At 39.1% G+C, this 27,955-nt stretch overlaps 1 long non-coding RNA gene and 1 other non-coding gene across 3 annotated transcripts; one reads left to right on the forward strand and one right to left on the reverse strand.

Annotated features, from left to right (window-relative positions):
* Positions 1 to 496: 496 nt before the first annotated feature.
* On the reverse strand, positions 497 to 27,955 carry LOC102723461 (uncharacterized). Of its 2 annotated transcripts, none has more exons than XR_951316.4 (3): positions 27,700 to 27,955; positions 9,706 to 9,814; positions 497 to 2,726 (listed from the first exon to the last, which is right to left on the reverse strand). It is a non-coding gene; the product is annotated as an uncharacterized LOC102723461 (long non-coding RNA). The 2 variants fall into 2 exon arrangements; XR_951317.2 differs by lacking the exon at positions 27,700 to 27,955 and adding an exon at positions 25,546 to 26,325 and having other exon boundaries at positions 2,687 to 2,726.
* LOC124905326 (U6 spliceosomal RNA) lies at positions 10,331 to 10,437 on the forward strand. Its single transcript, XR_007068541.1, has one exon. It is a non-coding gene; the product is annotated as a U6 spliceosomal RNA (small nuclear RNA).

Raw genomic sequence — 27,955 nt, forward strand, 5'->3', positions numbered from 1 at the left:
TGTGACATCTAGTTCCATTATATAAAGTAGTATTGTTATAGATAAATATATTATTTATTTATACCATACAGCACAGCAGTTATTTCCCATATTCAGTTTAAAGTTACTTTATCAGTAATTTTTACTTACCAGTATAATTTGTTCCTTTTATACTTACCAGTATAAAAAGGAACACTTTACAGGGTAAAAGGAACATTTTTACAGGGTAAAAAAAGAAAAAAGCATATAACCAAGGCTGTGTTTCAGATTCTCAATAGGATCTCACAATGGTGATGTTTTGCAAAACAAGGACATTGACAGTAACTCCATCTACTTACCTTAGGCAGATTTTCCTAGTTTTACTTTCACTGTGTGTGTATTAATGTCTGTATAATTCTACCACCTGTGTGAATTCATGTATCCACCACTAGTCAATATACTGAATGGCTCCAGCACCACAGTGGGTCCCTCAAGAGCCCTTTTATAATCACTCCCCCTCCCTCACACCTCCTTCCGCTTTCCTAACCCCTGGCAATCAGTAACCTCCATTTCTAAAATTTTATCATTTCAAAAATGTCTAACAAATGGCGTTATATAGTATTCATGATTTTTATCTGCTAAGTCCAAATTTATTTTTCTAAAAAAAACAAACTTTGGATTAGAAACCCAGGAGAATCCCATTACAATATTCTTATCATATAGCAGCTACATCAAAAAATTTTTGGAATATATACAGTTCAAATAAATAGACAAAAACAAGTGATGCCCATCAGTCAGATGATAGAGTAACTTCAATTCATATGGTCCAAGTCTGACAAAAATGCATTCTAACACCTGCATCTAACACCAGCTTTATTGAATAATTTCATCACGTTTCAAAATCTGTGTCTCCTAGACCAGTTGAGCTCACAACAAAAAGCAATTGTAGAGAGTTAGAAAAATATATGAAATTAGTGAACAAAACAGTGAAACCTTCCAACCAGGAATGTTTTTGGAACTTTCTTTGTTAGTAATAGTTCCTTATGGTTCCTAAATATTCAACCTCCCAGCATGAATGTGTCTCCCATCAAAAGAGCCACAGAATAAACACAACCTCTTTTTTCAACATCCCTCTTCCTATGCTCACGTCTCCCATCTTTTTCCCTTGTCTTACAGCCAAATTCCTGAAATTGTTATTGATATTCCTTGCCCTCCACTTCCCACCCCTATTCACACCTCCATCACAGGGCAATCTGACTTACACCTTAATCACTCCATTAAAGCTGCTCTCATACAAGTTATCAGCCATCAGTTGTGAAAACCATCTGACCTGTTTGTCTCTTCTTGGCTGCCCAGCGACACCTGACCCTTCTTTCTTCAGTCCCCACGCTGCTGCTCCCTCGATTTTCCCCACTTCCCTGAATTCTCCTTCCCTGTTTTCTCTGCTCCTCTTCCTCTGGTCGAAGCCCTCTTCCTTTCTCGCTCTGCTTACTCAGCATGTCCAAAGAGTCAGGCTGACACTACCAGAAGCGAGTCATCGATTTTAGCGTGACAAGTGGGATGGCTAGAGATTGTGTGCCATGCACAGTACTGTTCATGAAGTGTTCCTACAACCAGGCTTTAGAGCTCCTTCCCCATTATAGGAAATTCAGGGCATAGAAGTGAAGCAGTATCATGAGGGAGAACAAAGACAGGTGCAGATTGTGGGACATTATGAAGGACAACAAATCAGTGGCAGGGAGGACTGCTCAGGATGAGAGGACCTTTGTGAGAAAGTGGTGTGCAGGGTGGACCTTGTCAGGATTCTGATTCCAATAGACAGACTGCAAAAAGAGAAATACTTGTGATAATCAAGTATGTATGACTGTGGACTATGTATGGGATGATAATCAGAATCATTGAGTACATCTTCAGGAGCGATCACAGCAATGTGATTATGGGAGAAAGTGTCCCTACTTTTAGTGATACATGTTCAAATGTGTAGAGATGGAACAACATGATGTCAGGGATTTGACTTGAAATATTCCAACAACACAACAACAAAGAAAATACTTCAATGGTCACATCTCTTCCTCCATACCCGCCTAGATCTGCTCCACCTTGTGTTTTATGACCTCAGAGTCTATCAGTGGCCTCCGCCCCTTTGCTCAAGTTGGAAACCTGAGAATCATTGCTGATTCTCTTACATGTCAGCTTCCACTTCCAACCAAGTGTGAAGCTTTTGCAATTTTATCTCCTCAATATTCCTCATATCCTCTCCTCTCCATCCCCACCGCTACTATCATACATAATTTTAATTCACAATTTCTCCCGTAACCCCCTAACTGGTCTCTTAGCCTCCAGTAAGTAGTAATTGAATTCCCTTAATTACTAGTGGTGTGGAGCATTCATTTGTGCGCTTATTTGCCACATGTATCTTCTTTGTTGAGGAACCTGTTCAAATACTCCGCCCATTTTAAAAATTTGGGTTGAGTTGGGGAGCGGTGGCTCACACCTGTTATTTCACCACTTGGGAGGCCAAGGTGGGTGGATCACCTGAGGTCAGTTCAAGACCAGCCTGGCCAACATGGTGAAACCTCGTCTCTACAAAAATACAAAAATTAGCCAGGCATGATGGCGGGTGCCTGTAATCCCAGCTACTCGCAGGGGTGGGGGTGGGGGATTGGGAGGCTGAGGGGGGAGAATCGCTTGAATCTGGGAAGCTGAGGTCACAGTGAGCCGAGATTGTGCCATTCCACACCAGCCTAGGCAGCAGAGCAAGACTCCATCTGAAAAAAATAAAATTTGGGTTATTTATTTTCTTATTATTGAGTTTTTAAAATTCTTCATACATTCTGGATACAAGGTTTTTTTGTCATATCTGATTTGCAAATATTTTCTCCAAATCTGTGGCTTGTTTACTTCTCTTAGCAGTAAATTTCAAATAACAGAAATTTTTAATTTTATCAATTTTTTATTTTTATTTTTATTTTGAGACAGAGTCTCACTCTGTCGCCAGGCTGGAGTGCAGTGGTGCGATCTCGGCTCACTGCAACCTCCGCCTCCCAGGTTCGAGGGATTCTCCTGCCTCAGCCTCCCGAGTAGCTGGGACTACAGGTCCCAGCTCGTATAGCCAGCACGCCCAGCTAATTTTAGTATTTTTAGTAGAGAAGGGGTTTCACCATGTTGGTCAGGATGGTCTCAATCTCTTGACCTTGTGATCCACCTGCTTCTGCCTTCCAAAGTGTGGGGATTACAGGCATGAATCAACGTGGCTGGCCCCAAACTTTTATCACATTTTTAAAAGTTTTATACATTGTGCTTTGATGTTGTATCAAAGAATTGTTTGCCTTATCCAAAATCAGAAAGATTTTCTTCATTGTTTACTTTTAGGCACTTCCTAGTTTTAGGTTTACATTTAGTTACATGACCTATTTTGAATTAACTCTCATATATGCTAAGAAATATAGATAAAAGTTGATTTTTTTGCATATGGTTATCTGAGGTTCTAGCACAATTTGTTGACAGCTTTTGCAGCTTGTTGGAAATACTGTATATATTAAAGCAACAGAATAGAGGATCCTGCAATATATATCAGCAAATGTATAAACAGACACATAGATATAGAGATGGATATACACAAAATATTTTTGTATCTGTATATACAGTTCTGAATTTCATATCATATATATTATAGTTTTATTGTTGAAATCAGGTAAAGTTAATTTATCAAATTTGTTCTTTTTTCAGTTATTTTGGCTCTTCTAGATCGTTTGCATTTTCTTATGAATTTCAGAATCAGCTTGTCAATATCTACCAAAAAATATTAAAATCCTGCTAGAATTTTGACTAGGATTGTGTTGAAACTATCTATCAATTTGGGGAACATTTATGTTCTAAATATTGGTTTCCAGGGCATGAAGACAGTGTATCTCTCCATGTATTTGGGTTATCTTTAATGTTTCTCAGTATTCCACAGTTTTCAGTGTACAGGTCATGCACATCTTTTGTCAGATTTATTCCTAAGAGTTTAATATATTTTGATGCTACTTTAAATGGCATTGCTTTTAAAATTCCAATTTCTGGTTATTTGTTGCTAGTATAAAATGCAATTGGTTTTTGTATATTGTTCATGTATCCTGCAACCTTGCTAAACGCATTTATTAGTTCTAATAGCTTTTTTTGTATTTTATATTGAATTTTCTACATAGATGTTCATTTTGTCTGTGTGCAGTTTTGCTTCTTTCTTTCTATCCTGGACGTATTCTATCTCAGCTTCTTGTCTGGCTAGGATTTCCACAACAATGTTAAATGTAAGCGTGGTGAGAGCAAACATCCCATCTTGTTCCTGATAAGACAAACAAGAAAGCATTGAGTGTTTCGTTACTAACAATGATGTTAGCTGTAGGATTTTTCACAGATGCCTTTTATCAGGATGAGGAAGCTCCCTTCTAAATGTTCCAAATGTAAATATATGACTTCATCAGATGTATTTACTGCATCTATTGACATGATCATTTATTAATATGGTGCAATACATTGATTGATTTGAGGATGTTCAACCAACCAACCTTTCTGAGATACATTATATTTGTCCACGGTACAATATAATTTTTATGTATTGTTGGAACTGATTTGCTAACATTTTGTAAAGAACTTTTATATCTAAATTCAAAAAGAATATTTGTTTATAGTTTTTTTGTAATATCTTAGTCTAGCTTTGGTATCAAGGTGATACTAGCCTTATAAAATAAGTTGGTAACTAGTTCCTACTCTTCAATTTTCTGAAAGAGTTTAAGTATAATTGGTAATATTTCTTCCTTAGAGGTTTGAACAAAAAACTTCAGAGAAGCAATCTGGGGTTAGAGTTTCCTTTGTAGGATGAGCATTTAATTAAAATTCAATTACTTCAATAAATATAGAGTTATTCAATTATCTGATTCTTCTTGAGTGAGCTATAGCAATTTGTATCTTTCAAAAAAATTCTCATTTCATCTCAGTTACAAAATTTATTAGGTAATGCTGTACACAGTATTCCCTTACTCCATTTTTAATTTTTACAAAATCTGTGCTGATATAGTTTCTTTCATACCTGATATTAGGAATTTGTCTCTTTTTTGTTTTGATGATCAGCCTGCTGGAAGTTTATAAATATTTGGTTTCATAGATTTTTCTCTATTTTTTTTTGTTTTATTGATGTTCACTCTGATCTCTAGTATTTCCAAAATTGTTTTTTGTGTTTAATTTGCTCTTGTTTTTCCAATTATTAAGGCAGAAGCTGGGGTAGTTAATTAATCTAAAATCTATTCTCTTTTCTACTATAGTGTTTAATCCCATAATTTTACACATAAATATTGCCTTATCAGCATTCCACACATTTTGAAATATTGTTTTCACTCTCACTTAGCTGAAAATGCATTGGTTTCTCTTTTGAAATCTTCTTTAGCCCTTGCAATATGTAGACATGTGTAATTTATCATCTTAATACTTGACGTTTTTCCAGAAAAGTTATTATTATTAACTTCTAATTTATTTCCAATGTGGTCCAAGAACATACTTCATAGGACTTAAATCACTCCAAATATTCTGAGACTTGCTTTCTGGCACAGAATGTATTCTATCTTGATAAATATTCTGTGTTTGCTTGAGAAGAGTTTATATTATGTGACTGTCAGGTGGACTGATTTATAAATATCAATAAAATCAAGTTATTTGATAGTTTTATTTTTTTAAGTCTGCTGTATCTTCACTGATTTTTTTTCTACTTGTTCTACTAATTATTGATAGTGAGTATTGTAATCCCCAACTATAACTGTGGAGAAATAGACAACTATTTCTCTTTTGAGTTCTATTGGTGTTTGTTTCGTTTGTGTTGAAGCTCTGTGATGACATACGTAGTGCTTGTTATTCTTAGAATTATCACGTCCTCCTGAGAAGCGGACCCTGTTCTCCTTATAAAACGACATTCTTCATCCCTGATATTCTCTTATCTGATGTCTACTTTATCTGATATGAATATAGCCACTCCAGCTTTCATTTGATTCATGGTAACTCTTTTTCAATCTTTTACTTTTAATATGTTTGTATCTTTACATTTAAAATGTCTTTCTCACAGGCAGCATGTACTTGGGTCTTCATTTTTTTCATCAAAGCTGACAATCTCTCCTTTTAATTGGGATGCTTAGAACATTTAACAAGATTTTTGAAATGGTTATGTTACACCTGTGATCTTGTTATTCATCTTTTACTCAATCCATCTGTTCTTTGCTCCCCTTTCCTGTTTAGTGCCCTGTTTTGGATTTTGTTGTTGTTGTTGTTATTCCATCTCATCTTCTTTGTTGGCTTATATGATAACAAAACTTTTTGTTTTGTTATTTCAGTGGTTGCTTTACAACTCTAAGTTACTGCAGCCTACTTTCACATGTTATCTTACTTCATGTGTGGTGTAAGAACCTTCCAGTAACATGCTTTCATTTTTCCTTTCCTGGCCTTTCGCTATTGTTGTCCTGCATTTCACTTACACATAAATTACAAACTACACAAAACACTGTTGTTATTTCTGTATAAAATTCAATTATTATTTCAAGATTTTTTAATGGAGGGGTCTTATACATCTTCCTATACAGTTACTTTCCAGAGCTCTTCATCCTTTATTACAGATCAATATTTCCATCTGATATCATCTTTCTTCTGCCTGAGGAGTTCCTATTTTATTTCCTGTGCAGCAGGTCTGCTGGTGATACGTTCTTACAGTTTTTTTCTGCCTGGATATATCTTTATTTCCCCTTCATTTTGGAAAGTTATTTACACTGGTTACAGAATTCAGAGTTAACAGTATGTCCTCTTTTAGAATTTAAAATATTTTTTCTATATCCTCCCAGATTCTGGTATCTGTGATGAGAACTCTGGCAGCATCCTTTGTTAATCTTTATGTATGGTGTGTCCCATCCCTCTATGTCTGTATCACTAGGGTTCAATACTTTGATTACTATGAACCTTTGTGGAGTTCTTCATATTTCTTATAGGTGGGCTTTACTGAGTTTCTTGGATAAGAGATTTATAGTTTATATCAAATTTGAAAACATTTTGGCCATTTTTTTGTATTATTTTTTCTGTCCCTCCTCTTTTCAGTCCTTCTAGGACTCAAATTACATGTATTATTGGCTGCTTGAAGGTGTTCTACAGTTTAGTTTCTTAAAATCCTTTTACTCTATTTCCTTTTGGATAGTTTTTATTGCTATGTCTTGTATTTGGCAATGTTTAATCTGCTATTAATCATGTTCCGTGTATTTTTCATCTCAAATTTATAAGAGTTTTTGGGTGGGCATGGTGGCTCACACCTGTAATCCCAGCCTTTTGGGAGACTGAAGTGGGCTGATCATTTGAGCTCAGGAGTTTGAGACCAGCCTGGGCAACAAGATAAAACCCCGTGTTTACAAAAATTAGCCAGGTGTGGTGGCACATGCCTGTAGTCCCACCTACTCAGGAGGCTGAAGTTGAGGATAGCTTAAGCCCAGAAGGCAGAGGTTACAGTGAGCCGAGATCACGCCACTGCACTCCAGCCTGGACGACATAGCCAGACCCTGTCAAAAAAAAAACAAAAACTTTCATAACCAATTATATAACCATTCTACTACTTAGAGGAACAAAAAAGTCAATAATTCACGATTTAAAAGCTACTAAAAACATAAAATATAAAACTATGCACTAAGGAGTTTTATATATAAATTTACCCATTAAATAAATATGTGTATGTACTTCTTTAATTTAAAAAATTCTAATGACTTACAGTTTATACCACAAGATTATTTATACAAACAGATTATTCTCATTCCAGAGTGGGCTTTTTGGGGGATGAAGTTTACTAAGCAATTTACAATGTTCTGTGAAAATCATCAGCTTTTTCAGGTTCTGTAGTAAAGTTATAAAAGTTCTAGGCACCATATCTTTTTAAACCATAAGAAAATACGAGGGCACATGTGTGTATGTATGTATGCATGAATGCTTTTATGGCAGTTTTATTTGTAATTACCAAAAACTGGAAACAACCCAAATGAACTGGGGAATGAATACAGAACCTGTTGTATATCCATACAACGCAATGCTACTAAGCAACAGAAAGTAATTACTGATACATAAAAACATGGATGAATCTCAAAATACATTAGGTTAAATAAAAGACGTCCGTCTCAAGAAGCCACATACTGAGTCAAGCAGGGGGATCCCTTGAGACCAGGAGCTTGAGGCCAGCATAGGCAATATAACAAGGCCTCCCATTTCTATTAAACAAACAAAAATTAAAACAAAAAGGCTAAATACTGCGTGATTTTGTTTACACGGAATTCTGAAAAGAAAAAAAAAAAAAGACAAGACAGAGAAAAAAACAGATCAGTGGTGGCCAGAGACTAGAGGTAAGGAAATGGGCTGACTATGGAAAGGGGCATGAGGAAATTTTTTGAGAAACTAACTCTATATCTTGATCATCATGGTGGTTGCACAACTAGATGTGTTTCCCAGTCTTACAGAACCATATTCAAATACACCTTAATAAAGATAATTTTCAACCATACATATGATAGAATCATAATTATTACTCTTATACTAAGACCAAATAGATGCTGCTTAAACCACTGAGGCAAGAACACTAAACCTTGGTCTGATCTGCCTCCAAGTTTGAAAACTCCCTTCCATTAACATTTTGCCTAAAAATTAAACAATATTTGTAAATTAGTCACAAAATCCTTTAAGATTAAAATATACATATATTCTTAAAGAAAACTACCTAGTGCTTGCAACCAAGTCATTTTAGGAGAAAATTAGCTTTGTTAAGAAGGGAATAAAGCCCAAGTAATAAATATTAACATCCATCTTTTCCAGAATCATGATGGTCAAAACAATGAGACTCTTCTCCTAATTTTGGTTCAAAATACCAAAATTTTTACTTCAAAAACTCTCTAACAGATTATTATAAAATCTTAACATTTGCCTAAAAGTCTTTAAGTATTTTCACATAACTAGGCAGTATAACAAAAAAAGAGCACAGGCTTAGGCTGGATGCAGTGGCTCACACCTGTAATCCTAGCATTTTGGGAGGCCAAGGCAGATCGCTTGAGTCCAGCAGTTTGAGACCAGTCTGGGAAATGTGGCAAAACCCCGTCTCTATAAAATACATTAAAACGTGGCCCATACCTGTAGTCCCAGCTACTTCAGGGGATGAGGCAGGAGGATGGCTTGAGCCTTAGAGACAGAGGCTGCAGTGAGCCAAGATCACGCCACTCACTCCACTCTGGGTGATAGAGTGGGACCCTTTCTCAAAAAAAAATTTTTTTTTAAAGCACAGGCTCAAGAACTCAACCCACCTAGGCAAGTTATTTAACCTAATTTTCCATCGATTGTATCATCAGTAAAATTGGGATAATTTTACCTACCTCTAGGAATAATCCTAGACTATTACATGAGTTAATACATGTATTATAATAAATCACAGGGTAATGCCTGGCATAGTTAACTAAGTCTCAATACCAACCTAACATAAATGAATGACACCAATAATCACCAGCTGTGTAGTCTTTGCATACCACAATTCTGCCCTGTAAGGTAAGTGGCCTAAATTCAATGGCCTAAATAAAGACCTATCTAGTAATACTACTCTATATTCCTATTATTTTACCTGAATTGCACCTACCTAATTCAGTTTGCAAAAGAAAGGTTAAGTATTTTACCTCTTATATATAAAAAAGTGAACTATAAATAAGTTAAATGACTTACCCAAAGAAACAGTAACTTGAAGGCAGAGCCAAGATGAGGATTTGGTATTGAGACTCCTTAAAACTTTGTCCTCTCCAAAATTTTTAGCCCTCCATGAATTCCTTCCCTCCTAACAAAGATACGGGTATAATGCACCCCCAAAAACCTCCAATTTAATAATTTAAAAATTTCATTAAGCTATACATTTGATTTGTGCACTCTTCTGTATGTTTTATATCATAATAGAAAGGTTAAGTGGCTTATTACCTAATACACTAGTATTCACTTGTATTCACATATGAATACATACACTTGTATTCACATATGAAGAGAAGTAGTGGAAAAGTTACATTAAAAGCTAAAAGGTGACAAACTAAGCAGATTATGTTCTTTAAAATTTTGTGAGAGGCAAAAGTTTTTAACTGAGGTATATAATACATGTACAAAGAAGTGCACACTTCCTAAGTCTACTATTCAATGATTCTCATAAACTGAACACATCCATGAAATCATGACCCAGATCAAGACAGAGAACATTACCAGCACACCTACAATCTCCCTTGTCCTCATCACCAAAGATAACCATTATTCTGATTCCATTCCCATCTGTTAGTTTTGTCTGTTTTTTAAGCTTTACAGAAATGGAGTGCTCGCTTCGGCAGCAAATATACTAAAATTGGAACAATACAGAGAACATTAGCGTGGTCCCTGCACAAGGATGACATGCAAATTGGTGAGGCTTTCCATCTTTTTATTATTACAGTAGTCTGTATTATTTCATATCCAAAAAAATGATCAATATGAAGAATGGGATGAACTAATTAATACTGTGATTGAAGACAATAGCATTATTTGCCTGGGAAACTAAAGACAAAACAACTGGAAAACTACTAAAACTGTTAAAGGAGTCAATTTGCTACTTATGGAATAAACATATACTGTATTCACAGTAACATATATTATGGAATTAAAATCACATTTCTGGCTGGGCACAGTGGCTCACATCTATAACCCCAGCACTCTGGGAGGCCAAGGTGGGAGGATCACTGGAGCTCAGGAGTTCAAGACCAGTGTGGGCAACATAGTGAAACTTCCAAAGAATAGGACTAACTCCACGTGTAGCATCTACATGTGGACAAGCAGGAGTGTTTCCTGATTAAATAACCTAAGTGTCATCTCCATGAATGCATGTATACAACTTTGTTGGATTGAAGGCTCCTCATCTCAACCCCACTGGAGGTAAATGCTATAAAAGTAAGTAATTCAAGAAAGTTTCATCCAAATTAACTCATGTAAAACAAAAACAAAACAAGAAAAATTTGCCACATCAAGGTAATGTTATAAAATGTGTAATGTAACTACTGTCTTTATTTGTGTCTCACTTACAAAGTAGATCTGAACTATGGATTACTACTACTTACTTTGATTAAAAAAACACTGATGTGAGATATTTTTGTAAATTTTCTTTACCCAAAGGTTCACTGCAGCCATAAAAAAGAACAAAATCATATCCTTTGCAGCAACATGATGCAGCTGGAGATCATCATCCTAAGCTAAACATTGGGTAAACATGGACATAAACATGGGAACAATAGATACAGGGAACTAACAGAGAGGAGAGGATGGGAAGGGGCGAAAGCTCAAAACTGCCTACTGGCGGCTGGGTACAGTAGCTCACGCCTATAATCCCAGCACTTTGGGAGGCCAAGGTGGGTGGATTGCTTGAGTCCAGGAGTTCGAGACCAGCCTGGGTAACAGGGCGAAACCCAGTCTCTACAAAAAAATACAAAAAATAGCAGGGTATGGTGGCCCACCACTGTAGTCCCAGCTACCCCGGAGGCTGAGCTGGGAGGATCGGCTGAGCCCAAGAGGTCAAAACTGCAGTGACCAGTGATTGCAATATTGCAATCCAGCCTGGGGGACAGAGACCTACCTTGTCTCAAAAAACTTAAACAAAACTACGTGCTGGGTGCTATGCTTACTACCTGGGTGATGGGATCAATTGTACCCCAAACCTCATGCAATATACCCATGTAACAAACCTGCACACTATTATTATTGCGAGAAACAGAGCTAATTTAGAACAATATATATAGCTTGACCCAATTTGAGGAAAAATTTTACATTTGTATATTTGTTGAAAACAACTATCAATAAAGAACTAAAATTGCATACTATTCATTCATATGACTGAATACTACACAGCTATTAAAATTAATGAAGTAAGGCAGGTGCAGTGGCTCACACTTGTAATCCCAGCTACTCGGGAGGCTGAGGCTCGAGAATCACTTGAAACTGGGAGATGGAGGTTGCCGTGAGCCAAGATTGTGCCACTGCTCTACAACCTGGGTGACAGAGTAAGACTCTGTTTCAAAATAATCATAATAATAATACTACTAATAATACACATATATCAGCATAAATAAATGTAACTTTCCAATTACAGAATGTATGTACCAAAATATCACATAAATTTGAAACACAATAGTACTACATGTTAAATATATGTAGATATTTGTAGGAAGAATATAAGTGCATGAGCTAAAAAGATAAATAACTTCTGCATAAGAAAATAGGATCTAAGAGGATGACAAAAGGGACTCCAACCGTATGCATATTTTATTTTTAAAAACAAATTTAGGCCAGGCACAGTGGCTCACCCCTGTAATCCCAGTATTTTAGGGGGCCAAGACGGGCAGATCACTTGAGGTCGGTTGGAGACCAGCCTGGACAACATAGTGAAACCCCGTCTCTACTAAAAATACAAAAATTAGCCGGGAGTAGTGACAAGCTCCTATAATCCCAGCTACTCAAAAGGCCAAGGCACGAGAATTGCTTGAACTTGGGAGGTGGCGGTTGCAGTGAGCAGGGATTTTACCACTATACACCAGGCTGGGCAACAGAGTGAGACCCCATCTCAAAAATAATAAATAAAAACATATATAAATACACTTTTGAAGCAAATCTGATAAGATGTCAGCATCTATGAAATCTACTGAATGGGCTGGGTGCGGTGGCTCACGCCTGTAATACCAACACTTTGGGAGGCCAAGGTGGGCAGATCACGAAGTGAAGAGATAAGAGACCATCCTGGCCAACATGGTGAAACCCAGTCTCTACTAAAAATACAAAAATTAGCTGGGTGTGGTGGCGTGTGCCTGTAATCCCAGCTACTCAGGAGGCTGAGACAGGAGAATCACTTGAACCCAGGAGGCAGAGGTTGCAGTGAGCTGAAATTGCACCAGTGCACTCCAGCCTGAGCGACAGAGCGAGACTCCATCTCAAAAAAAAAAAAAAAAAAGGAAAGGAAAAAAGAAAAAAAATCTACTGAATTAGTACCTGGTGTTTGTTAAATTATTCTCCATATTTTTCTAAATTTTTGAAATATTTAAACTTTGCTCTAAAAAAGTCGAGATTTTGGAATTCAGAGACAGGCTTTGTAGATTCAGTACAGGATGTGTGTGTGTGTGTGTGATAAGCCTGTTATTCTGTACTATAAAATTTCTAACTAAAAAAAAATTATATTAGGTTGGTGCAAATGTAGTTGCAGTTTTCGTATTGTTGAAACTTGCTATTTGATACTGGAATACATTCTTAAATATATGTGGTTATTTATATACCATTTTAATGCACATTTCTCACCTTTTTTGCTAATAACATATTATTTGCTGTTTTATTCTGTTAGACAGTGGAAATTATATTATAAAAAAAAGCAAATTCAAGCGATTTTCTTGAGTTCAAAATGGGTCGCAAAGCAGTGGAGACAACTCGCAACATCAACTACACACTTGGCCCAGGAACTGTGCAATGGTGGTTCAAGAAGTGTTGCAAAGGAGACGAGAGCCTTGAAGATGAGGAGTGTAGTAGCCGGCCAGAAGAAGTTGGCACTGACCAATTGAGAGCAATCATCGAAGCTGATCCTCTTACAACTACACGAGAAATTACCGAAGAACTCAATGTCAACCATTCTACGCTTGTTTGGCAATTTAAGCAAGTTGGAAAGGTGCAAAAGCTTCTTTTTTTTTTTTTTTTTTTTTTTTTTTTTGAGATGGAGTCTCACTCTATCACCTAGGCTGGAATGCAGTGGCACCATCTGGGCTCACTGTAACCTCTACTTCCCGGGTTAAAGTGATTCTCGTGCCTCAGCCTCCCTAGTTGCTGGGATTACAGGCACCCACCACCACACCCGATTACTTTTTGTATTTTTAGTAGAGCTGGGGTTTCACCATGTTGGCCAGGCTGGTCGTGAACTCCTGGCCTCAAGTGATCTGCCCGCCTCAGCCTCCGAAAGTACTGGGATTACAGGCGTGAGCCACCACGCCCTGCCAAAAGGTGAAAAAGCTTGATAAGTGGGTGCCTCATGAGCTGACCAAAAATTTTAAAAATCGTCGTTTTGAAGTGTTGTCTTCTCTTATTCTACATAACGACGACGAACCATTTCTTAGTTGGATTGTGACGTTTGACAAAAAGTGTATTTTATACAACAACAGTGATGACCAGCTCAGTGGTTGGACCGAGAAGATGCTCCAAAGCACTTCCTGAAGCCAAACTTTCATCAAAAAGAGGTCAGGGTCACTGTTTGGTGGTCTGCTCCTGGTCTGATCCGCTACAGCTTTCTGAATCATAGTAAAACCAATACATCTGAGAAGTATGCTCAGCAAATCGATGAGATGCACCGAAAACTGCGAGGCCTGCAGCTGGCACTGGTCCACAGAAAGGGTCCAGTTCTTCTCCACGACAACACCCGACAACATGTTGCACAACCAACATTTCAAAAGTTGAATGAATTGGGCTACAAAGTTTTGCCTCATCCACCATATTGAACTGACCTCTCACCAACCGACTACCACTTTTCCAAGCATCTAGAAAATTTTTTGCAGGGAAAATGCTTCCACAACCATCAGGATGCAGAAAATGCTTTCCAAGAGTTCATCGAATCCCGAAGCATGGATTTTTACGCTACAGGAATAAACAAACTTATTTCTCATTGGCAAAAAATGTGTTGATTGTAATGTTTCCTATTTTGATAAAGATGTGTTTGGGCCTAGTTATAATAATTTAAAATTCGTAATCCAAAACCACCATTAATTTTGTACCAACCTAACAGTACCTACATTTATTACCTCAACTGCTCTTCAACTTTCTTTTTTTGAGACAGAGTATCCCTCTGTCACCCAGGCTGGAGGGCAGTGGCACAAATCTCGGCTCACTGCAACCTCCACCTCCAGGGGTCAAGTGATTCTCCTGCCTCAGCCTCCTGAGTAGCTGGGATTACAGACGTCCACCACCACGCCCGGCTAATTTTTGTATTTTTAATAGAGACGGGGTTTTGCCATGTTGGCCACGCTGGTCTCAAACTCCTGATCTCATCTGTCCACCTTGGCCTCCCAAAGTGCTGGGATTATAGACATGAGCCACGGCGTTCAGCCTAATCTTACTCTTTAAAAGAATAAAGTAAGGGCAGACAATAACGAATGTCTTAACCCAGAAATCTCACCTTTTTGAATGATGTTCTCCATTCACAGAAGCATTTAAAACACTACAAGTGTGCAGTAAACAGCAAAAGCCAACAAGCTCTAATCACTTAAACTCTAGAGAATATATGACACAGCTCTTCCTAAAATATCACCAGATGGGTATATAAACGTAGAACGGCTTAACTCCCAGCTGTATATTAACACCAAATCTCCAATAAGCCTATACTGTCATAATAAAAATCATTTGCCTAAATCTCTTCCAATTCATATTAGATGTATTAATATAAACCATATCCTACCTGAGTTGCTACAACTCCACTTGATATTTAAAACACACCACAACACACAAGCACACAAACACACATACACGGATACAGAACTTGGGAGTTCAGGCTGAGTTCTGCATTTACAGAGTTCATAGAAACCAATTTTTCTTAAGGTATCTTTCATAATTCTCAATCAGCTTATTAAAAAGAGAAAAACTAGATGGCTCAGTCCTCTTGTGTTTAACTGTGATCAAATCCCACAATGTCTTCAGTCATAGTAGAGTTCACAATGATAAAGTTCAAATAAGCTTACCTGCCCCATTCCTCCCATACTACTTCCTACAGCTGCCACTCGTCTTAGGAACTGGAGCCAGTTAACCACCCACTTTCTCAATGGTGACTGTGACCTAAACCTTCACAAGACATCCAGTGAAAAATAAAGACTTTAAAATAGCAGTTTTTGGCTGAGCGTGGTGGCTCAGACCTGTAATCCCAGCACTTTGGAAGGCCATGGGCGGATCACCTGAGGTCAGGAGTTCAAGACCAGCCTGGCCAACATGGTGAAATCCCATCTCTACTAAAAAATACAAAAATTAGCTGGCTGTGGCCAGCTTGTGCCTGTAGTCTCATCTGCTTGGGAGGTTGAGACATGAGAATCGCTTGAACTTGGGAGGCAGAGGTTATAGTGAGCTGAGATCGCACCATTTCACTCCAGCCTGGGTGACAGAGTGAGACTCTGTCTTAAAAAATAAAAATAAAATAGCAATTTTTCCTACTTATAAAAGTAATACATGCTCATTGTAGAAAAATGGGAAACTATAGAAGAATAAGAAGCAAAAAAGCCACATTATCCCACCGAGACAGAAATTAATCACTACTAATATTTCCATTCATGGCAATCCAGGATCTCTTCTGTATATCAAAGTGTATTAGTTCATTTACCAAACAGGATTTTAAGTACTGCAGAACAAGGGGGAAGTAGCATACTAATTCTTTGGAAGACTAATTTTCTTCAGTGTAAAGAAGTTACACTTACTGCTGAGTAAGTCAACCATATGTACAGGAAACTGGAGAGAATGACAAAGGTGAGGGAAATCATGCCTGCTTTTTCTTCATTCACTCACAGCAAACCATGGAGTCCATGTTTTGGGAACCATTATGTATGCAAAGACCAACTAATGAGTATGTTTCCTTTATAAATAGCAGCCTACTAAATAAACAAATACATACATACATATATACGAATATACAGTCTTGCCACAGGAGTTACACACACAGTGAAAGGAATGACATTAAGAGTATTTTTAAAATTATTATACTTTAAGTTTTAGGGTACATGTACACAACGTGCAGGTTAGTTACATATGTATACATGTGCCATGTTGGTGTGCTGCACCCATTAACTCGTCATTTAACATTAGGTATATCTCCTAATACTATCCCTCCCCGCTCCCCCCACCCCACAACAGGCCCTGGTGTGTGTGATGTTCTCCTTCCTGTGTCCATGTGTTCTCTTTGTTCAATTCCCACCTATGAGTGAGAACATGCGGTGTTTGTTTTTGTCCTTGCGATAGTTTGCTGAGAATGATGGTTTCCGGCCTCATCCATGTCCGTACAAAGGACATGAACTCATCATTTTTTATGGCTGCATAGTATTCCATGGTGTATATGTGCCACATTTTCTTAATCCAGTCTATCATTGTTGGACATTTGGATTGGTTCCAAGTCTTTGCTATTGTGAATAGTGCCGCAATAAACATACGTGTGCATGTGTCTTTATAGCAGCATGATTTATAATCCTTTGGGTATATACCCAGTAATGGGATTGCTGGGTCAAATAAATGGGATCTAATTAAACTAAAGAGCTTCTGCACAGCAAAAGAAACTACCATCAGAGTGAACAGGCAACATACAGAATGGGAGAAAATTTTTGCAATCTACTCATCTGACAAAGGGCTAATATCCAGAATCTACAATGAACTCAAACAGATTTACAAGAAAAAGACAAACAACCCCATCAAAAAGTGGGCGAAGGATATGGACAGACACTTCTCAGAAGAAGACATTTATGCAGCCAAAAGACACATGAGAAAATGCTCATCATCACTGGCCATCAGAGAAATGCAAATCAAAACCGCAATAAGATACCATCTCACACCAGTTAGAATGGCGATCATTAAAAAGTCAGGAAACAACAGGTGCTGGAGAGGATGTGGAGAAACAGGAACACTTTTACACTGGTGGTGGGACTGTAAACTAGTTCAACCATTGTGGAAGTCAGTGTGGTAATTCCTCAGGGATCTAGAACAAGAGTATGTTTTTTGTCACCATGAAAGTATCTTAAGAGACAGTAAAGGGATATGTGAAAGGTTGATCTAAAATTCATGACCTCTTCCACAAAAATAGTTTCTGTGCACATAAGATGAAGGAACAATCTAACTACGGAAAACGTAACTGTTGATTTTATAATGCTATAACTTATTTACACGTATAAATAAATATGCAGGAGTTTAAACAGTTAGTCCACAAATATCGATAGCTTACTCTGTACCAGGCAATGTATTAACTGCTAGGGAGTAAGGGAGAGAACAGCCACCAGTCCCTATTTCTGCAGAACTTTCAATCTGTCTCTTGAAGTATGATGTCAAACACTAGGCATGTGGCCTCAAGCAAGTCACAACAGTCCTGATTAAATGATGATCTCAAATCCTTGTGATGATCTAAGAAGATATATGTGAAAGTAGCTTATAAATCATGTTACCTAAAGTAAAAAGAGATATGTAGCCATTTGTGCAAAGCACTGTTTATAGCAATCATCTTCAATAGAAATTATCTTTATTTATTTATTTATTTTTTGAGATGGAGACTCGCTCTGTCACCCAGGCTGGAGTGCAGTGGCGTGATCTCGGCTCACTGCCACCTCTGCCTCTGGGGTTTAGGCCATTCTCCTGCCTCAGCCTCCTAAGTAGCTGGGACTACAGGCACCCACCACCACGACTGGCTAATTTTTTGTATTTTTAGTAGAGATGGGGTTTCAACTGTGTTAGCCAGGATGGTCTCGATCTCCTGACCTTGTGATCCGCCCACCTTGGCCTCCCAAAGTGCTGGGATGGCAGGTGTGAGCCACCGCGCCCGGCCCCTCATTTCTTTTAACTGGCAAAAAATAATCACTCAAGTTGCTTAATATAATCTCTTTTGACAGTCTCTAAGATTTTGATATTATCTTTCTCTGCCAATGACCCATATGAAGTAACTGAAATTAATTTTCCCATGATGGGGGAGAAAAGATTCACTTTTTTCTAATACAAAAAGCTTTATTTCCTGATTTCATAATTTATAGGGGTTAGGGGGCAGGCAGCCACAGATCAAAAGCAACTTATTCAAACTCAAGAAAAAAATTATCTTTTAATCTAAGAATCACCATGGAAAGTTTGTTATAGGCTCAGGCTAATCCAAATAGTTAGTGACAGGTTAATTGTGGTACTTTGAAAGCAAAGGAGAGCAAGTAGCAATTATTCTTCCCTTCACTCAGTCTCTAACACCTAACCTCTTAAAAAACAGGGAGATATATATTATAGCCAAATTGCTTTCCAAAAAACATAATTTTAAAAAATATGCTCTACACAGTATCAACTGTTTGTATCTAAAAGAAATAGACTATTTACATTGCTTTTTATCCTACGATTTATCCTTTTCAAATTCAGCCACCTCAACGATGCAAAAAAGTATCAAACTGATGCTTTAAATTTATTTTTGCCCTTATTGCAGATACGACTCTAAAGAGCATGGGGAGTTTCTTTTTTTTTTTTTTTTTGAGATGGAGTCTCGCTCTGTCACAGACGTTGGAGTGCCGTGGTGCAATCTCGGCTCACTGCAACCTCCACCTCCTGGGTTCAAGAGATTATCCTGCCTCAGCCTCCCGCGTAGCTGGAACTACAGGCGTGTGCCACCACGCCCAGCTAGCTTTTTGTAGTTTTGTAGAGATGGGGTTTCACCGTGTTAGCCAGGATGGTCTCAATCTCCTGACTTCATGATCCACCCGCCTCGGTCTCCCAAAGTGCTGGGATTACTGGCGTGAGCCACCATGCCCGGCCTAGCATGGGACATTTTAAAGGCATTCATAATCCAACTAAACAGGACCACCTGCAAAACTAGTGAAATGCCCAAAAACAAACATCTATAAATGCCCAATATTAAACCTCAAGGGTCTAAAGCAGTAGTATCCAAAGCAAGTATAACATACCTCCAGGAGATCGGGCATGGTGGCTCACACCTGGAATCCCAGCACTTTGGGAGGCTGAGGCTGGCGGATCACTTGAGCCCAGGAGTTCAAGACCAGCCTGACCAACATGGTGAAAACCCATCTCTACCAAAGAATACAAAAATTAACCAGGCATGGTGGCAGACACCTGTAATCCCAACTGCTCAAGTGGCTGAGGCACAAGAATCACTTGAACCCAGGAGGCGGAGGTTGTAGTGAGCCAAGATTACACCACTGCACACCAGTCTGGGTAACAGAGCAAGACTCTTGTCTCAAAAATATGTATATAGATCATATATTATTATATATACATATATATTATACATATACACACACACACATATACACATGCCTGCACACACACACACCTCCAGGAGTACCCAAGAAGCCCCAGGGTAAAAAAGGAAAATATTTGAACTTTATTTTTAATTATCATCCTTGTTAATTTTTTGTTTGTATTTTAAAGTCCACAATAATCAGTTACTATATGTTTATTACTTGTAAATTAAATATCTAAGGATTAAGAACTGATGCTCAATATTTTTCTTTTTCTCTTTTTTCAAAGCAACAACATGAAGTTGTATCAATTTTTTTTCCTGACTTCATTCTTCCCATCCCATCAGTTTTTTGTTTTTTTTTTAAAGAGACAGGGTCTCACTATGTTGCCCAGGCTGGAGTACAGCGGCGGTATTCATAAGCACAATCACAGTGAACTTTAGCCTTGAACTCCTGACCTCAAATATCCTCCTGCCTAAGCCAACTACGTAGCTGGGACCACAGGACCACGTACCACACCTGCTTAATGCTCAAAAGTTTTTGGTGATGGGGTAAGCAACGAAAGTTTGGAGACCACTGGTCTACACGACTCATTGTCACTGAACTTTCATTTTTATCAGCTCCCTCCCAAGAGTTAAGCTATGGAAGTAAGTCCTGATGCTGAAAAAGAAACAGAAGAAAAACTGTTTCAAACTATTTTGAACTCCCAACAAGCTAAAGATGACAAATCACTAGCAAGAATATATGGAATTGAATACTAATATGCTGTTGACGGGAATTTCAAATAGACATCCTATCTAAAGGGCATCTTGAGTATATCCACATTTAAAACACACATACCCTTTGACCTAATAAGCCCTTTTTTTTTTTTTTTTTTTTTTTTTTAGAATGAGTCTCACTCTGTCGCCCAGGCTGGAGTGCAGTAGCTTAATCTCGGCTCACTGCAGCCTCCGCCTCCTGGGTTCAAGTGATTCTCTGTGCATCAGCCTTCCAAGTAGCTGGAATTATAGACCCTCGCCACCACACCAGACTAATTTTTGTATTTTAGTAGAGATGGGGTTTCACCATTTTGGCCAGGCTGGTCTTGAACTGCTGACCTCAGGTGATCCACCCACCCGCCTTGGCCTCCCAAAGTGCTGGGATTACAGGCATGAGCCACCATGCCTGGCTAATAAATCCGCTTTTAAGAATTTATCCTGGGCCAGGCGCGGTGGCTCAGGCCTGTAATTCTAGCACTTTGGGAGGCCAAGACGGCCGGATCACGAGGTCAGGAGATCGAGACCAGCCTGGCCAACATGGTAAAACCCCATCTCTACTGAAAATGCAAAAAATTAGCTGGGCGTGGCGGTGCACGGCTGTACTCCCAGCTACTCAGGAGGCTGAGGCAGGAGAATCACTTGAACCTGGGAGGCAGAGGCTGCAGTGAGCCAAGATCATACCACTGCACTCCAGCCTGGGTGACAGAGTGACTCTGTCTCAAAAAAAAAAAAATTATCCTAAGGAAATAATAGGACAATTCAATGCCCAAACAAGTTCATCACAGTACTACTTTAAGAGAAAAATTGGCAATATCCATTAACAACACAGAACTGCTATAAACTATGATGCATCCATATTATAGAACACTAAATACTCATTTACTCATTGAGGGAATATCAATTTTACATGGAAAGTTGTTCTTTTTTAAGGTATTTCAATAGGTATGCATAAGAAAAAAAATGAAAACACCAAACATCACATCCAGATGGGATTACAGGTTATCTCTACTTTTTTTAAAAAAGAAAAACATTAAAACTGTTCTGGGCCAGATGCATTGGCTCACGCCTGTAATCCTAGCACTTTAGGAGGCCAAGGCAGGTGAATCACCTGAGGTCAGGAGTTAGAAACCAGCCTGGCCAACATGGTGAAACCCTGTCTCTACTAAAAATACAAAAATTAGCCAGGTATGGTGGTGGGTACCTGTAATCCCAGCTACTCGGGAGGCTGAGGCAGCAGAATTGCTGGAACCCAGGAGGCAGAGGTTGCAGTGAGCTGAGAAAACGCCACTGCACTCCAGCCTGGGTGACACAATGAGACTCCATCTAAAAAAAAGTTCTGTAGCTTTCATAATCAGAAATAATTTCACTTTGAAATTTAAAATGAGATTAAGTTAAAACTCCAAATTATTGTCCTGTATCACTTCTAAAACTCTTTGTAAACACTCTGTCTTCCCATGTCATTTGTGGATCAGTCTAAATACTTAATCTAATATTTGGTTTATCTCATGGAAAAATGATAGGCATATAATAAACAACAACCCTGTTTCAAGTTAACCATCTTGTCTTTATACCAATTCTTGCCAGTTATGTCATGATTTATCAATATACTTATAACTTCCTTATATTCTGCCAGATTATAAATCTATGAATAATTCTGAAAATTATTCAGAAATTTCTATCTCTCTTCTGCAACTAAGTTACAAAAGTATTAACTACTTCGGGAGGCTGAGGCAGGGAGAATCACTTGAACCTGGGAGGCGGAGGTTGCAGTGAGGCGAGATCATGCCATTGCACTCCAGTCTGGGTGACAGAGCAAGACTCTGTCTCAAAAAATATATATATATGTATTAACTACTAAAGAAATTAGATTTAGACCCCAGATAAGTGAAATCAGAAAAGCTTGCTACCATCTGTCATAACAGAATCATTCTGAATATCTATAGTTATCAGATCAAGACAATACCTGTGTGGTTAACAAGTACTCCACACTCCATCTTAAGGGAAAAGAGTACTTAAGAAGATTATTATAGCATAAGTTTATGTGCTTTGTTCATTAATTCAACAATTTAGAACAAAGCTATGAGGTATTTCACCGCTAACAGAATAGCTTTAAGGTAACCCATCTTCACAATTTTCTCTTTGTTTTCATTTGTTTCATGCCTTATTATTTTATAGACAGTCTTTCTATCGGCATTGCACAAGTACTATGTCCCTAAACAACTACGACCAAGTTTTATCACGACCCAAAAGAAAAAATAACTTTCTAGGCCAGGTGCAGTGGCTCATGTCTATAATCCCAGCACTTTGGGAGACCAAGGCAGGACTACTCAAGCCCAGGAGTTCAAGACCAGCCTGGGCAATGTAGCAAAACCCTGTCTCTACAAAAAATGAAAATAATAATTTTTAAAAAGAAAAAATACATTTTACACGGCAACCAAGTATACATACATAAACATATCTTTTAAAAAGAAAGAAAAGTTTCCCAAATCAATATTTACTTTTACTTTACACAATGTACTGATATATTCTTTTTTAAAATGCTTTTTAAAATAAGTACATTGATTTCATTACCCTATGACACTGCCACCTGCTACTTAAAAATGTAGCCTTAAAACTTTATGCAGAGTGTGCTAAACTCCTTGCTCCTACCACCTTCTCCCACGACTCCAACATAAGAAAATGGGTAAAATCTAGCAAGTCTATTCTAAGTACAGACCTTGGCATAAATGTGAGACACCCCAGGTTCCTCTGAAGTCCCTGCAACATTGTGATTATTCCAACTGGCAGACAGGATACATTTGCTGAAAGGTTTCTCCAGCCAGACTACAGAAGCAGAAACCTTTTCTGTTGCCTTATCAGTGATATTGCTAAATTCTGCACTTGACAATGTGGACCAGGTTTACTACTGCTCCACAAGCCAATTCTTCCAAGAAATAAAACAGGATTCCAGTATAATAGGATTCTAATACCAGACCCTTACATTTTTTGAATACTTTTCAAACACATTATTCCGTTGCATTCTCCCCCTGGCAGTCTGTTAGAAAAGTAGAGAAGCTGCTCTTCTTCCTTTCACTAATGAAGGAATTGGAGCTCAGAGGGGTTACGTGGCTTGCCAGAAACAACACGGCTAATGAAGAATACAACGCAGGCTTGAACCCAAGATTTACTCATCTATCCACTTTTATGCTACAATTTTCATTTTTAATATCTGATACAAGTATGAACTTAAAAAGTATATTGTTTCTAGATACAAAAGCAAAGGTGAAAGCATGATATCAATATTGATGATACCAAAAAATTAAGATTAAATATAGCAATGACATGTTAATAATTTTGGAGGCCTCTAAAGTTACTGGCAGTCCTAGTTCAATCCAATATGAATCTGATATCATCTTATATCTTCAATCAATGTTACATGATTATAAATTTATGTATATATTCACCATAGAAAATTACAGAATTGGGTGGTAAGAAACAACTAGCTATATAAATTGCACATACTCCCCCAAATCATTCTCAAGTCTTGTGGCTTCACACTAAATTATGAAGTTCCCAATGTAAAACCTGATTTGATTTCAACACTAAGCGAATTACAACAGCATAAGCATGTTCTTACTACATAATACTTGCAACATACATTCAATTTCCGAAGCACTTTTGGACAATGTCTAAAATCCATAAGCTAAAAGCAGAACCCAACACAGAATCTTGTTTCTTTTAAATGGCAAAGGTTAGTCTACCTATATGAGATGAATACCAAATAACATAATTAGAACTTATTAAAAATTTACAGAATCAGGCTAGAGAAACTACTTGAGGTCAAAGACTATAGGCCCTTAATTGTATAGATGAGAAAATTGATGCCCAGAGAAGTTAAGTGACATTCCCAACAGCAATTAATGACACAGATGGAATCAGAATATATGTCTATCTGTCAATCCAGAACTTCCCATTATTCTATATTACCTCTGCATTTAATGTGCTCTTAAAAAAGTCACTAACATCTAAAACACTTAAGACACATTAAGACTCAAAAACCAGGGGACACAACAATGTTCACGACAGTCTTTAGAAAACAATTTCTTAAAGGAATCTCAAAAATTCCAAACAACAAGCACTGAAAGCTGGCTCTTTATTTTTTTTATTTTCTTTCCTATCCAGAGCCCTACTTGATCAAAAACTGGCTCTTTAATCCATTGCAAATTATCAAGTAGCTTTTAATAACTAACATGGCTATAAACCACCATAACTGTTCTTTTTTCCATATCAATACTATTCACTTACTAAAAAAAAAAATCTGAGGGTATAGAATATGCTGATAACTGTGCTGGGTATTGGCGACACCAGGGAACAAAACAGACGAGGCCTCTGGCTCTTCTAATGGACAGCTGGGTGCAACTCTCTAAAAATACTACTTCATGATTTGACAGGATATTTGCCAAAGTCCTTCACTACTCTACACAACTATAACAACATTTTCTTCCACCTCTTCCAAACTTATAATAACCTTCACCACACCCCCTCTAAAACGTGAATACGTCCTTTGGTAACTCAGCATTCTACTTCACTAAAGAAGGTGTGAACGTGTTAACTAGAACTACAGCAGATTTTTAAACTGACTTTACCACTCCTCATGGCCTGCGGTAAATTTCAAGAACTTTTCACAATCTGTAGTAACCCTTCCTGGTTCACAACCCTGATCTCAAATGACTGCTAACACACCCATCCTACCCTCCACTAGAAATCTGAGTCAGATGGTTTAGGAGCAACCATGTTAGGGAGCATCTTCAGTGGACCCCTTTATGAGCCAGAAGCTGACTTACTTCCTCTCCTTCTCTGTTTATTTCCTCTGGATTCTTGTGTATCTCTGGATACAATGTATCTCCAATTAATCAGCATCTAATTTTATCAAGTGTGTTCCTGATAACTTGTGCACAAATTAACTTTTGGCAGCAAATCTGTTTCACCTACACAAATCCATTATATTTTAAGAGATGCTCAATTTGCATCCTTTAAGTTTCTCATGCTTCCCCTTCTCCACTTCTTAAATTCTTAAAAAGCTATAAACAAAAGCACCCTGGGAAGCCATAATTAATGGGAATTCTTTGGAATACCCAACCTAAAGCAAAAGTTCACATGCCTTGCTGACCACAATCAATCAGGGAGCTTTGTAAGGATGGATTCCCAGGCCCTATCCTCAGAGATTTTAATTCATTAGGTCCTGCATAAGTTCGAGGAACTTAGGTAGTCCATAATATTGCTAATGACCAGCCTTAAACTAGACAACCACTGAAGAACCTGGCCTATGAGCTGAGAAACTTGGGTTCTTTTATGGCAGGCCATTAACGACAAGTGGGGCTGTACCACTGTGCTGGTCACTTGAAGTTCTCTGAGTCACCTGAAACTGAGGGAGTAATTGCAGCCAAAAGAGGTCTGTCGTCATAGGCAGCCAATCTAGAATTCTAGAATCCTCCAAATTTAGTTTAATATCACATACTATACTGGGTTACTCAAAACAGTGTCATTCTGGCTGGGGGTGGTGGCTCACGCCTGTAATCCCAACACTTTGGAAGGCCGAGGCAGGTGGATCACTTGAGGTCAGGAGTTCCAGACCAGCCTAGCCAACACGGAGAAATCCCTGTCTCTACTGAAAATACAAAAATTAGCCAGCCGTGGTGGCGCACACTTGCAATCCCAACTACTTGGGAGGCTAAGGTGGGAGTATTGCTAGAATCCGAGAGGCGGAGGTTGCAGTGAGCAGACATCACACTACTGCACTCCGGCCTGGGCGGCAGAGCGAGATAACGTCTCAAAAAAAAAAAAAAAAGTGTCATTCTGTAAACTCTTCTAGCCTGCCCAAGTCATAGGCCCTATAAAGGGAAGACTTTCTGCATGCCATCAATGTCTCCTGTCCTACTGAACAGCCCTGAATCTGAAGGGGGATGGTCCCCCACCACCTCTCCACGGACAAATCATAAACATCTAACATTTTAAAAAAATCATCTCCTGTAATTCAACCCAGGCCTCTCATGGCATTACCATTCACATAAGAGAAAGTTGAACCTCAACTGCAAAAGTATATGGTTTGGGGGTGTTGTTTTGTTTGTTTGGGTTGTGGAAAAACAGATGTCAGAAAACAAAGTGGATATCAAGATACTAGAACAGTAAGAATTTAGGCCTCGGTCTGGAAACGACATTTGAACATCAATATGTAATAGTAGTTCATGTCCAAAACTCACAAGTGAGATTATCAAACTCCAGGGGAGTCTATTAATGTGGCCATAAAATCTACCCCATAATTTTGACATAACTTTTCCAGCCCAAAATACGACTGACATCATCTTATGGGTCCGGAAATACCATACATCAAGGAAAATTTCTACCGGAGAAATAACACTGTAATCGTTTGGGGAGCAGTCTGACCAGTGTTCCCTGAGTTACGCCAACCGCCCCCAACCATCCTTCCCACCTATTACCAGGTCAGGAGGATGTCCTGCTGCACGCTCAGGCGGTCGCTCCTCCTTTCCACAAGACCCAGGCCCGCACCGTTCGCCCCGGGGCTCCCATGGCCCCCGACCTCCAGTCTCCAGCAACGATGGATCCCCACAGACCAGGCAGGGGGCGAAGGGCGCACACCCACCTCCCGGGAGTCAGTGGGAATAACCCGGGCGCTCCCAGGGTACGTCCCACACCCGGAGCCGCACGGGCCCATCCCCGCCAGGTCTGGGCAGGCAGCCGGAGCCCGGGACCCCGCCTCCCCCGCACCTAGGGTCCCGGCCGAGCTCGACCGCTGAGGTCCCGTTCCCACTCCCACTCCCAGCGCCTCCCCCTGGCGGCGGCGGCCGCCCGGGACGCCCCTCCCCGGGCGCTGCCTCCTCAGAGGGTGACAGCCGCCTGGCCGGGGCCATAGAGGCCGGCCCCTCCTCCAGCTCCTCCTCACCCCGGGAGGAGACAGGGGACGGGGATGGGGTTCTTACCAGGCAGCAGGACATGGCAAGGCCCGCCACGGCACAGCCTCCTCCTCCACCATCTCACCAGGCTCCCTGCCAGGCCCGGCGCAGGGCAGCGACTGAGCTACTAGGGCGTCTGGTCCGGCTGCTACTCCGCCGCCGCCGCCGCCTTCTCACAACCACAACAACACTGCAGCAGCGGCCACACAGAGTGCACTCCCGACGCCGAGCCGGGCGACGAGCGGAGACGCGCGCGCAGGCTCGGGCGCTGAACCGGGTGTCC

Source organism: Homo sapiens (assembly GCF_000001405.40).
Source record: "Homo sapiens chromosome 15 unlocalized genomic scaffold, GRCh38.p14 Primary Assembly HSCHR15_RANDOM_CTG1".
NCBI lineage: Eukaryota > Metazoa > Chordata > Mammalia > Primates > Hominidae > Homo > Homo sapiens.